Genomic DNA, 16964 nt, shown 5'->3' with positions numbered 1-16964 from the left:
TTATAGTTTAGAAAATGAATCAGAGAAGGAAGACTAAGGCAGGGAGAAGGCTACAGAATGGGAGAGCAGTTAAGAGGCTGCTGAAGGGGGCCAAGTGGGAACATGTAAGTCATCTCTTCTCTGAAGCTTTGCATTTCTTTTACTGACATGTGAGGGCGACAGTCTTTGTCTTGCCTATCTGAGAGCATTGGGGTTAAAAAAAAAACCCTAAAAAATAGCCACTTAGAACAGGAGTTAGCAAACTCCTCTGTAAAAGGACAGATAGTAAATATTTTCAGCTTTGCAGGCCTTATGGTCTCTGTCACAAATACTAAAGTTTGTCATTGTAGCTCCAAAGCAACCATACATATAAGAATATGTATAAGAATGAGTGCAGCTGTGTTCCAATAAAACTTTGTTTATGGACACTGAAATTTGCATTTTATATAATTTCCATGTGTCACAAAATATTACTCCTCTTTCATTTTTTTCCCCACCATTAGAAAAATGTAAAAAGCATTTATAGCTCATGGCTGCACAGAAAACAGGGAGTGGGGGGCCAGATTTGGCCTACAAGTCATAGTTTGCTGACCCCTGACTTAGATTGTGCTTTTAAAACAGCAAAACTTTTCATATTTTTAAGGGAGAAGTATTATGATTACTATTTACTGGTGGTTAAATTTTATAGTATTTCATGGCTGTTGATCAAGTTTGCCATCTGTATTATTTTTGAAATTATGTATTTTTTGTTTATCAGTTGGTCTGGAATACTCTATCTTCTCAATTTTGCATAAGAACTTCCTGCAGTTTTGTTGATGGATCACTGGAGAAAGCTGCAGTCCCTGGACAAGCCTAAAACACCTTTCAACCTTTTGTATGTTTTTCTTTAGAGAGGTGAGGGGTGGATTTGAAAGGACAGGAACATTAAAGCCAGACAAACCAGGGTTTGAATACAACCTTTACCAGTTTGTGACCTTGAACAAGTTTTACAAATTCTATGATTCAACATTTCTTCATTCATTCTTCATTTATTCAACAAATATTCACTGAGTACCTACTATGTGTCAGGCACAATGCAAGGCCACATGAGTACACTAGTAAATGGGACACCGTGTCTGCTTTCAAGGAGACTACAGATTTAAGAGAAGGCATCCATTTCTAATACAGTGATATATTGCAATAAGAAGGGAAGATGAGGGTGTTATGGGAAGACAAGAAGGGGCATCTGTCCCAGATTCACTGACGTACTAAAGACTCCCTAGAGGTAACAGGTTATAAACTGACACCTGACGGATGAACAGTTATCAGCCAGGTGAAGGAGCAGGAGGGAGTATATCCCATGCAAAGTGACTCACCTAAGGAAGGCTTACATACAAGAAGGTGGGGGGCTGTTGATAATGGAAAGCTGTTGTCATGCTTGGGACAGGGTGGGCAGTGGTAGTGAAGAGAGACAAGACCAGAGGGGTGGGCAGGAGATTCATCATGGAGGGCCTGTGAGCTGAGTGAGGTGGTTTGAAGTTTACCTTGGGGACAACGAGGCAGCACTGTTGTATTTCAACTGAAGGATGGAGAGTAAGACTGAAGGGGAACAAGACTGGAGGCAGAGAGACCAGACGACAGGCTGCTTAAATAATCCATGTGAAACACAAGGTTGGCTTGAACAAAGTGAGAATGAAATTAAAGAGAAGGAAGCAGCTTCAAGAGCTTTTCTGGGGTAGAATTAATAAAGCATGGTGATTGATTATAAGAGGGACATCAGAAAAAAGGAGGGCTCCCATGTGTCTAGACTGAGAAGCTACATGGATGGTGGCACCATTTATGCAGAAAGGGAAGTCTAACAGAGAAGTAGTTTCGGTGGAAAAATGACAGATTTATTTATAGTCATACTGACCTTTCTGGGTTATTCTAAATCTTAGAAACATTATATGTGAGGCACCCAGAAAAGTACCTGGCATGTCGTGGGTGCTTGATAAGTGGTGCCTCTTACTCTTGTTTCATTTTTTTTAAATCTATTTCAGGCCCTGTTTTGTTAAATCATGATGTTCTTTTGCTATTTAGTGTGAGCTCTTCAGAGCCACAAGAATTGCAGTTTTGTTCACCGTGCTGCACGTTTTCATGTGTGTTTCTTTCTCTCCTTCTCTTCTGCATGCTGCCTGGGGACTGGCTTCCTTGTGGTCAGCACCAATGGGCAGCGCCCAGGTGACCCCGGGGACTCCACTCTGCCTCCTCACCACAGGTGATCACCAGAGCCCTGGGCGGGTGGGAGGGGAGAGTTGCCCACACTCAGTGGGTCCTCCAGGCCAGGTGCACCAGAGAGGAATCAGCAGTCTTTCCACCCCACCCACCCACCCACCCCCCCACCCATTCACCCATCAACCCACACATTCATTCATCCACCCATCCCTCCATCCCTCTATGCATACACTCATCTATCCACTCACCTATTCATTCCTTCTACTAATGCTTACTAAGTACCTACTGGGTGCCAGGCACTGTTCTAGGCATGGAGATGTACAATGATGAGCAAAAGAAGATATGTTCCAGTGCCTTTCCAGGAGAAGAAACAGCCACTGGTCCAAAAACTACACAAATAAATTTGCCACTTCAAGTGGTGTTACAAAGGAAAGGTACATGGTATTCAAAATAAACAAACCCATGTGCAGCCAAAGGAGTGCTTCACAGGGGAAGCGACAGCTGAGCTGTGATCTAAGTTTGGGAAAAAAGTTGACATAACAATTCTGTGCTTAGGAAATGAGAAGCTCTCACTATGATCAGGTCTACCATTTGTCCTGACAATTTACCCATACCATGATCAGCCTGACTTTTCCTACCTGTTAAATAGGAATAATCCCACCTACCCCTTATGGGGCACCATTTACGTTGTAGACCGTACACATGCAGAGGCCTCTGAGACTAAACAAGATAATAGACATCGAAGGAGCTGCCATGGGTACGCCCAGTCCAGAGTCTGTATTTGTTTGAAGTGAATACCAGCCCCTTTCCTCAAGTGTACCATAGGTGGAGTTCATTTCACATAAATGTATGCCATTCTTCAAAGGACACAGAGCCCACTCATGTCAGAGGTTGATGTCCATCGTGGGGCTCAAAAGATAATCTGCTGACCTAGAGACCTCTTTATTACAGGGTCCCTTTTTAGTCAATGGGAAGTTTCTTGGAGATTTCAAACCTTTAACTGTCACCTCTCTCAAAGTCCTTGCCCAGACAATGGCCTCCGGTCTACTAATCCCTGAACGGTCAGTTTATCATGGTGGAGAAGGAGGTGCAGCAGGCTGTGATGACATGAGTCTGGGCATCCAGTACCTTCACAGTTCACTCCTGCCACCCTGTTTCCCAAACTCAGAGACATCACTGCTGGTGAATGTCTTAGGTTGAGTTCCCTGGACACTGAGACTGAGATGGAGATTCTTGTGCAAATTATTCATTGCAGAGTGTTCTCAGAAGAAAGGGAGGAAGATGAGATATGGCAGAGAACAAAGCTAAGGGGGGATGTGGAGATCTGCATCTACCTGAGCCCTGGGTAAAGGGGAGGTCTGGAGTAGGAAATGTACTAAAGAGTTGGGCCCACCTTGAGGCAAGGGGGCCAATATTTGTACCATGGTGTTGGTCAGCCACTGGCTGTGGGCTGCCATGGGAATGCATGACCTCCTGGGGAAGTGGTTCCCTTATGCCTGATGGTACTTCTCTAGGAAGGGAGGTATTTGTGAGCCATTTGCGCCAGCACCCACAGCAGCTGGAGAGTAGTCACACCCGCCCAGTAAAGGAGATTGGGGCTGAGCCTAAACAGCATCCACTATGGGCAAGTTTTATCTCTGCCTTTGTACTGCCATGGACACCTGTACTCCAGTGTGTCACTGCCAACACCACAGGAATTTCATCTCAGCCACTCCCTGTTAGATTACCTTAAGCAAGTTGCATAGCCTTATTTCACGTGCAAAACTAATTATCATATGTGCTTCATGCAGTCATATTAAAAATTCCATTAGAAAATGCTAGGAATGTTGTGTGCAGTTGCAGCACATAGTAGGTCTTTACTGAAATCAGTCCCCAGCCCTACCTTATCAGAGGCCCTTCCCAAAGGGAGGTGGGAGTTGCAGATGGACAGTGGGAGAAAAGTGACTCTCGTCACTGTGCACACCACCAATTTACAGAGAAACAATACTTCTCCAGAGTGTGTGCGAGCTGTTCCGTTTCTGCTGGGCCATTGTTCTCTAGGCTCTATTCCAGTCGAGCAGTCAGATAATATTTTCTTTAAACAGAGCCAGTCCCATATCAGGTGCTTTTGTTCTTACCTCTTGTCTTCTAAGGCGTCTGAATGTTCCTCCTCTGACAGGTTTATTTCATTGTGATCCATTTATTTCCACACGTTTCTCAACCTCATTTGATGGGTGAGGTGCCTGTGAGTGCCATCCCTTTCAAAGGGTGTTTTTGTTAATGTTCGTCCCCTGGTAGCAATAATGGCTGATGTAAATAATAACTGCCTGGGTCTGAGTGATGGGGATATTAGACTTTAAGCACAGGAGCCTCTTTTCATATCAGCACCAACTCAGAGAGCTGCAGGACCACATTATGTAGCAGGGACAGGCTGGCATTCGGAGTGAGTGGAGGCTGAGTTCAGCTCTCAGCAATGCCACCTTCTGGGCTGGTGATCCTGGATAATTTATTTTTCTTTTCCAGACTTCATTATTTTTATTTGGAGAAATTGAAATATGAATAGCCACAGTCATAGGTAATCATGAGAACTAAGTGCAATAAAAGCTTTAACTTCTTTGCCCATCTAGGTCCAATTAGTTCTTCAGGTCTTCCTAATTTATTGGCTAATCCTTCAAGGAATTCATTCTCTATGGCAAGATTGCTCAACCCCAGCACCATGGATGTCTGGGGCCAGATAGTTCTTTGTTGGGGGCCGGTGGCAGGGGGCTGTCCTGTGCACTGTAGGATGCTTAGCAACAACCCTGCCTCTCCCCACTGGATGCCAGCAGCACGTCAACCCCAATTGTAACAACCAAGTACATCTCCAGACATTCCCAAATGTGCCATGGAGACAAAAATCATCCTCTGTTATAAACCTCCAGAGCCATACTGTTTAATAGAAATAGAATTTGAATATTGTATGTAATTTTAAATTTCTTAGAGTCACGTGAGAAAAGTAAAAAGAAACAGGTGAAGCTAATTTTAATAATATAATGTATCTAACTCAATACGGATCCTTCTCAACTTATGATGGGGTTATGTCCCAATAAATGTACCATAAGTTGAAAATGTTGTAAGTTGAAAATGCACTTAATACAATTAACCTACGGAACATCATAGCTTAACCTAGCCTACTTTAAATGTGCCATGCTCAAAACACTTACATTAGCCTGAAGTTGGGCAAAATCATTTAACACAAAGCCTATTTTATATTAAAGTGTTGAGTATCTCATGTAATTTATGGAATACTGTACTGAAAGTGAAAAGCAGAATGTTTGCACTGGTACTTAAAGTGTAGTCTCTGCTGAACAGGTATTACTTTCTCAGCAGCATTGTAAAGTCAAAGAATCTTAAGCCCACCTATCTTAGGTTCACAATCATCTGGTATATCCAAAATATTATTATTATTATATGCAGCAAAATTAAAGAAAACAACAGATGAAAGATATTTTACATTCTTTTTTTGTACTAAGTCTTTGGTGTGTATTTTACACATAGAACACTTCAATAAAATAAATTTTTAAATTCAGTTCCTCAGTTACACCAGCCACCTTTCAAGTGCTCTAAGTACGTGACTTGGTGACTACCATTGTGGGCAGTGCAGATCAAGAGGTAACACATCTAGGGTCATCTTTGTCCCTAGTTGGTGAATAGAAATGTATGTGTAGAGAAGAGGCTCAGTAAATATTCAGTTCCTTTTATTCCTTGTTGCTCTCTAGGACTAGGGGACGTTTGGCAAAATCTGGAGATGTATTTGGTTGTCACAGCTGGGTGCGAGGGGCTATAGTCACCTAGTGGGTAGAGGTCAGGAATGTTTATATTGAGAAAAATAAGGTAAAATCCTCTTCTGGCCAGGATTGGGCACTTTTCTGCAGTGAGCTGACTGGAGGCTGCAGTAGAGAAGTGACCAGTTAATTAACATTAAGAGAACTCAGTCTTCCCCAGGCCCACCAGTGCAGAAAGAAGGCCTCTTTTCACATCCCTCCTGCAGTTCAGCCAGGCCTCAAGGGGGTGGCCTGGACTTCTGAGCCCAAGAGGAGACTGACAGTGTCCAGTCTGGAGGCCAGAGTAGCTGTGCTAAAGGTCATCCCCAGTGGCAGATCTGACTTCATTGTCTTGGCCATGCCCCATGCCCATTGTCAATTTTCTACAGAAAAAAGAGCTGTGGGACAAGCCCTCATCTGGAGCCCAAACTCCATTCCTTAAAACTGGGGACCTTGAGCCAATTACTCAGCCTTTCGCCTTTCTGAGCCTCACCTTCTTCATTTGTGAAATAGTACAGTTGAGTCCCTGTACAGCCAGGCCTAATCATGGTGAGGGTCAACAGAAGAAATGGATGCACTCTCAACCCAGCTCCAGGTTTGAGAAGATATTGGATACAGCTTCCCTTATTATTCCTTTATTTCCTGTGTACCTCATGTTAAAACTCTCTCTTATTATTTCGCTGGAAATTCTTTAAATCACGGCCTTGGCACAGTGACAGGATTCAGGTCATCATACACTCTCTGGGAGTTCTTAGCAACTGTCCTTAAAGCAACTTTCCCAGGGGCAGCTTTACTCAGACCCAGGCAGAAGGAGTTTGAGCCTTTGGGAGAAAGCTATGTGGGCCAAGAGAAGATGATGAAGCAAGGCAGCAGTCTCCCTAGGGTCATGCCCTGGGCCCTGTGAGCTTGGACACCCTGAGGCTTCAGTGACCCTCCAAGGGAGCATGTGCCCAGTGGAAGGGGTTGACAGATGGTGTGAGAACAGGAACCAGAGGCAGGAGAACCGGGTGAAGCTCCAACCTGAACAGCCACCATGAGGGGAAAATGCTTCATGGAGAGAGGCGAAGACAGGCAGCAGAGGCAGGGGCACAGCCTGTCAGGAGAGAGGGGGCAGCTCTGGGGGACAAAGCATTGGGAATGTCCAATAAGACGATGAAAAGAAAAATATAACAGCAAGTATGTTACATACTTCCTACATGCTATGGAATGTGCTGAGTTTCACATCATTAACTCATTTAAACTTCCCAGCAACTCTGCCAAATAGAGTACTGTTAGTAGTCACAGTTTACAGATGAGGAAACTGAGGGTCAGATGATTAAAAATCACTCAACTCTGAAATGATGAAACTAGAATTCAAACCCAGGTCTCTCAAGACAGTCTGTAATCATACTCTCCATGCTCTGTGCCCATAGACATTAGAGAACACCCATTCTGAGCCAGCATTGGGAAATACCATGGCAGGATGGTTCAGGACAGTCTCAGAAGCCACATAATTTACTATCTGAGAGGCTTTGAGCCCCAAAGTTTCCCCATTTTCTCATCTGCAAAATGGAAATACTAAAAATGACCAGTTATTGAGAAGAATCATGAGATAAAAAACTTCATTATCTTAGACTTGTGCCATCATTATAATGATCTTAACCCATCTTACAGATGAGGAAATTGAGGTCCAGAGAGTGAGCAGCAGGCAAGCTGACCATTGGTAAGATTCAGGCAGACTGAATCTGGGCCAGACTGTGACTGGTGACTGGGCCAGAACTGTGGTTTCTGAGAAACGTGAGTGGTGGAGGAAATAGGTAAGAGCCCATCAGGGCCTCAGGCCTGGGGCACCTAAAGTGCCAAATAGAAGTCATGAATCAGGGCTCATCAAAGCTTTAGGATATAAGGTGGATGGCTGGGCACAGCAGCACAGCAACCCCAGCTCCTGCAGTGACCCAAGGCAAGAGCAAGACTGAGAGCTGAGATAGGTGAAAGGATGTGGACATCCCTGAGCCTTTGACCTGGGCATCCTCTAGTTCCCCTTGACCAGTGCTTTGGTTGGTTCTGGAGTGCACAAAGGTCATGGCTGTGCCAGAAGACTAGGGGAAGAGCTACAGCTGGAGGCCACGAGGGCAGGTGACATCCAGGAGCCAGGCTGATCATTGCAGAGGACCCTCCTCAGCTGTTCTGGGCAACTACTCATATGGCTGTAAGGCTGACACTACAGAATGGGGGAGGAGACGAGCCTTGGATCAAGTGCATTAGGATACTGTCCTTAACAACAGTCTTAGAACAGATGCTCAAAGCTTGACAGACACAAGGCTATTGGTACATCATTTGAGCTGCCATTTTCTGTTGCCCGTCTCCCCACTGAATCAAAAGACTTAATGCAGAAGAGGGTTGTCACATCCCTGTAGGGTGTTCTGTGGGAGATGATTGTTAATGTTTGTGCTTCTTCAAAACAAATGTCTAATCAGGGAGCATATATGACTGAGGCTCTCACTGCACCTTTTTCTCTCCTGGGATATTCTCCTTAAAGCAAGGAGAAATCAGTCTCCAGTCTTCCATTCAAACTGCCATTAAACTCAGATTCAGAAGCCAAGCATCATCCTTGCCTTCTCTTTTTCCTCATCTTCAGTATCCAATTTATCACTAAATCTGATAGATACGGCCTCTGAAATCTCTCCTGAATCTCTGTCTCCTTCTTGCTCACTGCTACAACTCATGTCTGGGACTCATAAGGTTAGTGTCACAGATTCCAAATTGGGGTCCCCATGTCTTTACATCAATCCCCTTCCAATATTTATTCCCCACTGAAGCCAGAGTGATCATCTAAAAATAAGAGTATGATTCAGGCCAGGTATGGTGGCTCCACACCCATAATCCCAGCACTTTGGGAGGCTGAGTCAGTGAATTGTTTGAGCCCAGGAGTTCGAGATCAGCCTAGGCAATATAGTGAGACCATGTCTCTACGAAAGTAAAGTTAAAAAAAAAAAAAAAGGCCCGGCGCAGTGGCTCATGTCTATAATCCCAGCCCTTTGGGAGGCCAAGGTGGGCGGATCATGAGGTCAGGAGTTCTAGACCAGCCTGACCAACATGGTGAAACCCCGTCTCTACTAAAAATACAAAAATTAGCCAGGTGTGGTGGCACGCACCTGTAATTCCATGTACTCAGGAGGCTGAGGCAGGAGAATCACTTGAAGCCGGGAGGTGGAGGTTGCAGCGAGCCGAGATCATGCCACTGCACTGCACCCTGGGTGACAGAGCAAGACTCCGTCTCAAAAAAAAAAAAAAAAAAAAAAAAAAAGCCAGGCATGGCAGCGCATGCCTGTGGCCCTAACTGAGGTGGGAAGATCGCTTGAGCCCAGGAGGTTGAGGCTAAAGTGAGCCATGTTCATGCCACTGCACTCCAGTCTGGGTGACAAAGCAAGACCCAGTCTCAAAAAAAAGAAAAGAAAAGAAAAAAGAGAGAGAGTCTAATCCTGATTAAAATGCTCCCAGGGCTCCCCTTGTGCTTTGGGATAACTAGCCTGAATCAAAGGCCATTTACCACCTAGTGCCTATCCCTTTTTTATCTCTCCAATTTTATTTCCTCCTCAGCATCCTGTAACCCGTTCAAACTGATCATGTGAGTGGTACTTGCCTTCTCACACTCTCCTCTCTCTGCTGAGATGTTCTCCCTCTATGGTTTGCCTTACTCATCCTCTAGGATCAAGTTCAGACAGTTTGATCTCTGCAAAACCTTTACTGGCCCCCATTATCTCCAGATTGCATGCAGAGATAGTCAACTGGGTGGGCCACTTGGCACAAAGAACTGCAACCCCCTCCCCCGCCCTAAGCAAAGTTTTCTATTGAACATGGCATATGTACAAGGTATAAGCATGTTTTGTTGGAGCTGTTTGGTTTCTATCAACTCTTTCCCTGTGCCTAGCACACATTGTAGTGCTCATTCATTTGACCCCATGCATGAATGATTTAATAAATAAGCAGATGACTGACATTGATGGAGCATGTGCCAGGCATGGTATACTCACCCCCATCCCCACTTCTGCCTCCAGCCTGTGATGGTTCAAGCACCTCACTCTACTCACCATCTACCATTTTGTTGGGCTAATTGTGAGTCACTAGTTTTCAATCCAGTATTTGAACTCCATGCAGACTCACCTGCCAAGCTTCCTAGAGACTGAGTCTTCAGAGCCCTTGTTTGGAGCTCCCCCAAATCTGCTGGAGCTGGTCTTGCTGAGCCCAGTGTCTCGCCTGGGATCTCATGGTGTTGGCCCAAAAGAGGTTGGGCTGGGGGCAGGAATCGTGGGCAGTCATAGGGAAGACCCTGTCTTAGGACTCTGTGCCAGTGTGGCAAGTGGCATCTGCTACAACCACACTGGCCACTTCTTCTACCCTCCTCACCTCCCACTAAGAGCAGAGCTGCTTTTCCATCCATCCTTTGGGGAGGGGAACAGATCAGCTTTTAATACAGAACACAGTGATTCAGTGTTTCTGCTTTCAAAAGCAAAGGGGCAAAGGCTAGAAGAAAGAAAACATGTTCATGGTGGATTTGGCTGGAATCTCAACAATCAATTCCGTGCTTGCTGCTGCTCATTTTATTACCGTTGCACGGGTTAGTTGCACTAATCTGAAATTCTGTGCTGCGTGTTTACTGGCTCCTCTGTCTGATCCTGCTTATGCTTCCACTAATCCTTCCTATAGATTGCCTGCTTCCTCCCGTGCCCCTTCTCTCCTTTCCAGGCACTCTGATGCTAGCTGCAAGCGGCATGTTGCAGATGCATAATCTGGACAAAGCTGCCCCAGATGGGCAGATCTTTGCTTCTCCTCCCCTTTCTTGCCCCTCTAAGTCAGGTAATACAGTCACCCCTTAGGGGATCAATTTGGCCAGAGTTGGTTGGAAAGAATTGAATTATGTTTCTGAGTATGAGCCTAGGGGAGCCTCGGCCTCTGGTGCACCCTGCTATGCAGTTCAGACAAAGGAAGCTGAGACATATTATCCTTCCAGAAGCCTTGTGTTCTGCTCAGTCCACAACCAAGCAGGAGCCCCCATTCCTCTTCCCACATGCTGCCTGTCCATTTGGCTGTGAACCCTTTTAGAGTTTGCATTTCATTTAGTGAAATGCTGAGCTCCCGCTCCTGCTTGTAGCCCATCCCCAGGCTGTGTGGGTCATGACTCAGCTTCACCTGGTCTTAGAAGTTGAATTGTGTTCCCCAAAAGGATATGTTGAAGTAATAACCCCAGTACCTGTGAGTGGAACCTTATTTAAAAACAGTATCTTTGCAAATGTAATTAGTTTAGATAAAGTCAGAAGGGTGGACACTAATCCAATATGCCCGGTGTCCTTACAAGAAGAGAAAAACATCATGTAAAGACAGACTCATAGGGAGAAAGTCATTGACAACAGGGGCAGTGATTGGAGTGATGCATCTATAAGCCAAGGAATGCCAAGCATTGCCAACCACTAGCAGAAGCTAGGAAGAAGCAAAGAAGAGTTCTGCCACAGTCTCAGAAGGACCATGGCCATGCTGTCACCTTGATTTGGGACTGCTGGATTCCAGAATTGTGAGGGAATAAATTTCTGTCCTTAAACCTCTTGGGTTGTGGTTATTTGTAATAACAGCCCTGGAAAATGAATGTACTTAGAAATGCAGTGATCCTGAGCACTGGCCAGTGGGCAGTGGTTGAGCTTTAAGGGCTGTGCCTTTAAAGTGGGCAGACCTCAAGAAAACCTTGGCCAAGAGCTGCCATCCAGAGAATCCCTTTGGCTCACCCCATCTCCCCAGTGAGGTCCCCTTGTTGACTGTATTCTACATTTGGCCCAGACAGGTCTCCACTCTGTGGCTCTAAACCTTCCTTTCTTGGTTTGGTTTCTGCTTCTCCCTTTGAATAGTCTCAGCATCTGCTTGCTGGTCATGCCCTGGCCTGGGCTTTGCTTCACAAGCCAGGCTGTGGTAACCTGTTCTCAGTGTCCCGGAATTACATGACCTGCAGACTGTCCCTGATTGGCTTTTGTACTTGGCTCTATACTGGCTGCTCCTGAGAAGCCTCTCCTTGGCCCATTGCTGCCCTGGGACTGCTCTGAGCTTCACAGGAAGAATTACAGTCAGTTCAGTGTGACCACAGCTCTCTCATACTGGCTGCCTGAAGAACTCTAAAGGGACTATCACTTTGCTGCAGGGCATCCTAAAGAGTTTATGTTCTTCTTCTTACATCTGTTCTTCAGACTAAACCCTTAATCCCCAGTGCAGGCCGTGGGTGCTCCTGCCTGCAGCAGCTAAGCGGCTTTGAGCCTCCTGAGCTCCAGGCTCAAAGCACAGATTCTATAAGCAAGGAGCCAGTACTGTCAGCACTGAGATGACTCAGCCTCTTCATCCGCATCAGCAGGACAGTCTGGCCCACAGGGAGTCAAGGTGGGGAGGGAAAAGAGAAGGCCACTGAGTGGTCACAGGAATGCCCTGATGTGTCCCACACCATGGATGACGTGGAAATCAAGTTTGTAGTCTAGTTTTGTTTAAGCAGAGCTGGGCATGCCCTTTCCTGTGCACACTTCTGTGTTGGTGCCCATCACTCAACTCTGATTTTTAGTTTGCACTTTCCTCTCCCCCTAAGTAGTGAGTTCCAAGACAGTAGTGTTGTCTAATTACCTTCCATGCTCAGCACCTTGCTATAGCCACTGTCATCATTATAATCCTAGCACCACTCAGGTTAGGCAATGTCCAGGACTATTCCTATGAAGCCAAGGGTTGAACTGATGCTAATGAGACCAAGGTAATGGATATAGTCCATGTGGAGGTCACTGGGCTTTGTCCAGTTATTTTCATGGCCATGGGCTACATTTTATTTCTGAATAAAGTCTAAGCCACACTTGTGGGCAAGTTTGACCCCACCATGGATGCAGACTGACTGCCATAACACTTCTAAACCCGAGCCGTAAGTTGACTCCTGATCTCTGCTTTAGCTTTGACCCCTACCTCAGCCACATCCTGGTCATTAACCTTGACTGCGGTCTGAAACCTAACCCAGTCTACAAAGTATGCCCTATACTTGGTTTCTTAGACAACCTTATACCTGACTCTAGTCATAGCTTAAGGTCTTAGTCTTACCACAGACTGAATCCTCTCTCTACCCCAGCTGGGTCTTGGCAGCCCTCATAGGTTAGGCCTCCTTGGCACAACAGAAAGTAGTTGAGGTCATTGGGAGGTATAAATGGATTTCCAGCTCACCAACGGTGAAACCTTTAAAAGGATATGCCATAGAAGGGGTGTGTCAATAATGACTGTGTCTGGCATCAGTTGGGCATGACTGCTCATAAATAAGTCTGTTTTCCTCTATTTCCATGGATAAAAAAAAGACACTTTCTTAATAGAATAAAGGAGTTTTCTTACATCCAGAAGACGTTCTCTATCAGAGTCTCATTTAGCCGTCTTTCCTGGTGTGTGTAACATGACTGAACTAGAATTTGACCTACACAGAGCATTTACAGTGTAAAACAAGGTCTATCTGGAAGCATAGATTCAGGAGACCAAGCAAAATCAGCACTTGAGGAACAATTTATTTGAGTGGCCTGAGTGCTTTCAAACAATCAATTAAAGCTATTCCTGTCTCACAGGGTGCTAACCTCCATTCGAGGCCGAAAACGAGGGCAACTTCTGTCAGCAATATTTAGCAGTTTTAGTTGTATAGGCTGTGATGAAGTCAATTCTAACTTCTTAGGACTGACTGGGTAGTATTGAGGAGTCTGGGGTATTAGAAATGTGTATCTTCTTTGCATTTAACAGTACTTATTAAGTGGTTTTCCACAGCAAGGGTAGAGCTATCTTTGAAAACCCTGCATCTCTGTGGTATTTTCCAGCTACTTAACATTGACTCTGAGTTAAATCGTGACTAAAAGCAATTACTGTCATATGATGAATTGAGGCAATTTATTTATTACTTGAGAAACATCCTAGGTGATGTCACTTAGAAGAATGATGAAATAATCCTTCTCAAGTGCTCTATTATCAACCAGATCTGGTGAAGGAGGCATTGCTTTGAGGCATGGGGAGGTAGTCAGCAATTTAAAAAAATTAGTCACAGCAAGATCAAAGAAAGAATATTGGAGACAAAGCAGAAAAAAATCACCTAAATTTGAACAAGACTTGTCTCCCTATGGAATTATATGGGATGGTTTGTTTGCTAAATATCAATAAAGGTATTATATAGAAAGCCCAGCGATTATAATAAAACTAACTGCAACATATGAAAGGCTTGGAGGTGGTGGTTGATATACAAGAAAAGTGAAAAGGATGAGGGAACTTAAGTTAAAAAGGTCAAGTTTAAATATCATTTGAGCAAAGTCTGTATAATTTGGCTCATGTAACAAGGTTCACATGACATGTTCATCAATCCCTTAGATATTAGAATAGGATACGTGGGTGCGAGGGCATGAGAGGAGATAATCTTCAAGAAAGATGCATGAAATAGAACTGCATGATAGAGTGGGTGGCAAACCCGGCAGAGACAGGCATCAATACAAAGATATTTTAATCTGGCTGGTCAATGGAAGATTCTAGATCTAAATACGTGTCTGCTTCTTTCTTCCAGATATTTGAGAAAAGACAAACACATTTCTCTGCTGAACGGTCTCTCCCCCTATTTATTAGAGAGGTGACAGAGTAGTACGATAGGTTAAAGAGAATAATCTCTGTGCTAGACTGCCAGGGCCTATGTCCCAGCTCTCCTGCTTGCTACCATTACTTAGTCTCTCAGAGGCTGTTCCCACATCTCAGAAATAGGTATAATGATGGAACCTGCTTCATAGGTGTATTAGTTCATTCCCACATTGCTATAAATACCCAGGACTGGGTAATTTATAAAGAAAAGAGGCTTCATTGGCTCATGGTTCTGTAGGCTGTAGAGGACGCATAGCAGCTTCTGCTTCTGGGGAGGCCTCAGGAAGCTTCCAATCATGACAGAAGGCAAAGGGGCAGCAGGCATCTTACATGGCAGGATCAGGATCAAGAGAGAGTAGTGGGCGGGGGGGGGGGGGTGGGGGGAGGTGCTACACACTTTTAAATGACCAGATCTCACGAGAACTCACTCACTGTCATGAGGACAGTACCAAAGGGGATGGTGCTAAACCGTTCATGAGGGATCCAACCACCTCCTACCAGGCCCCACCTCCAACACTGGAGGTTACATTTTGACATGAGGTTTGGGTGCAGACACAGATCCAAACCATAGTGATAGGGCAGTGAAGATTAAAAGAGAGAATATATGTGAAGGGTTTAAAACGGCAGCCTGGATTGTAGTAAAAGCCCTAGATGTGTTACCTCTTTATTGTTCATTGTTAGCACTTTGCATGTGGTCAGATATCTTGACCCTTCTGTTTCCATCTTCTGGAAGAACTCAGTTTCACACCCGGCTGTCCTGAAAGTCAGCCACAGTTTCTCCATGTTGGCCTTGACTTGGCTAAAATCAAGCTGCAGTTCTGGACATTCTCCCTGACTTACAAGCCCACACACCCCTCGAAAGTGGCAAAGAGAGGTGAGGCTAGCATCACTTGTTTATAAGAAGCCCATGCTTGTCCTTGGCCCATTTGGTGTCACAACCATCCTTTACTGTTGCCCTATGCTCCTGGGCATGTAGGTGACCCCTGCATGGGACCCGCATGCCTACTGGCTTCTGGATTTGGCTAATGGGAGACTTTAATAAGAGATGGTAAAGCTGGAGGAAGGGAGGAGCCTTCTTTCTCTTGGGCTCAGGCCCCTTCTTTGGCGGTGACTCCATGGCTTCAGGTCTCCAGATGGGTCTACCAGAGTTCCACTTCTGTTGGGTGATCCTTACTTCTGGGCTTTGAGAACTCCACCATCTCTTTTTGTTTCTCCAGTCTGGGCTGGGTAGTGGCTTCCTGATACTACCACCCTCTGAGTTTCCCCAGCATTGTCTCCTAATCCCTGTGTACTAATTTTCTAGTAAATTTGCTCTGTTTTAAAAGTTAGGAGTGGTTTCCTTTTCCCTGGTTGAATGCTGTCTGATGTGAGGCTGTGCTGGTTTCTGGTGATTATTTCTTCCTTTTTTAAGTGGTAAGGGTGGGGGTGGGGGGAACCTGATTTAATCATCTAGTCTATTTTTTTTTCCTGTATCAACATCACACTAGCGTAAAGTATCTGAAATACATTTTTTTTTTCATTTTTAAAAAAAGTCAGCAACAGCATTTGTTTCTCCCCAGGCTTCTCGCACCCCTCCTGTTTGCTACAATTTCAGTCCTCAAAGACTGCCAAAGTAGTTCATGATCACAATTACAAATATTCTCAATGCCTTGGGATGCAATTTGTAAAGTCTAGAGGCTTGAATCTAATGAAGTATCCAGATGCTCTCCTGCCAACTTCTTTTCTGTCTTGGACTTTAATTCCATCTTAAAAATAATCTGCTATTCTGAGAATTTGTTTCCAGCAAAATCAAGAAGGTTTATGGTGCTTACCTGACTTGAGAAGAGCCAGAAAGTTGCCCAGCATCTTCATCTTTTCCCTATTATCTCCTCTTGGCAAAACCCCCATAATCAGAGATGCCTGTAATGCTTAAAACCTTCCCTGACGTAGAAGTACCAGCTTAGAGTCAGGGTTTCAAAGGTTTTCCCTACTGGGTGCCAGATACATACAAAGCCAGAGAAACTCTTCAACAAAAGAAGCCATTCAGTAGACTGGGGTAAACTGCCAGCAAAGTAAGATTTGCCTCTGATAAGCCACACTGGGGATAATATGCCCTTGGATAGCTGAGAAACAACTGTATGTTTTAAAGAGTGCAGTTTTTAGGAATAGTGTCCCTGAGAGCCGGGTTGCTTTCTTTATCGTCAGCAATGATCACCAGCATGGGTTATGCATCCATTGGGATTTACTTGGTTTTATCAATTGCAATTAAATGTTCTTTATCTGTGACTCCTATTTTTGCTCCATATCTTTACAAGGAAAATTCTCTGAAGTAAAGCTCTAGAATTGGGCCTGTCACCAGTGAGAGCACTTCAGAATGAATCATTAATCATTAAT

General features: G+C 44.7%; 1 protein-coding gene across 11 annotated transcripts in view; it reads left to right on the top strand.

Annotated features, from left to right (window-relative positions):
* Positions 1-16964, top strand: part of PTPRT (protein tyrosine phosphatase receptor type T) — a 1158017-nt gene that overhangs the window by 917295 nt on the left and 223758 nt on the right. For 4 of the 11 annotated variants that reach the window (NM_001394025.1, NM_133170.4, XM_047439847.1 and 1 more), the window contains exon 14: positions 2159-2215. The exons of the other annotated variants lie outside the window; for them this stretch is intronic. In NM_001394025.1, the coding sequence (NP_001380954.1) occupies positions 2159-2215 (57 nt within the window). The remainder of the gene's footprint in view (positions 1-2158; positions 2216-16964) is intronic. 11 annotated transcript variants of the gene reach the window in all.

This window comes from Homo sapiens, chromosome 20, assembly GCF_000001405.40.
Source record: "Homo sapiens chromosome 20, GRCh38.p14 Primary Assembly".
NCBI classification, from domain to species: domain Eukaryota; kingdom Metazoa; phylum Chordata; class Mammalia; order Primates; family Hominidae; genus Homo; species Homo sapiens.
Note: the sequence above shows the minus strand (reverse complement) of the source record. Positions and strands in the feature narration are given on the sequence as shown.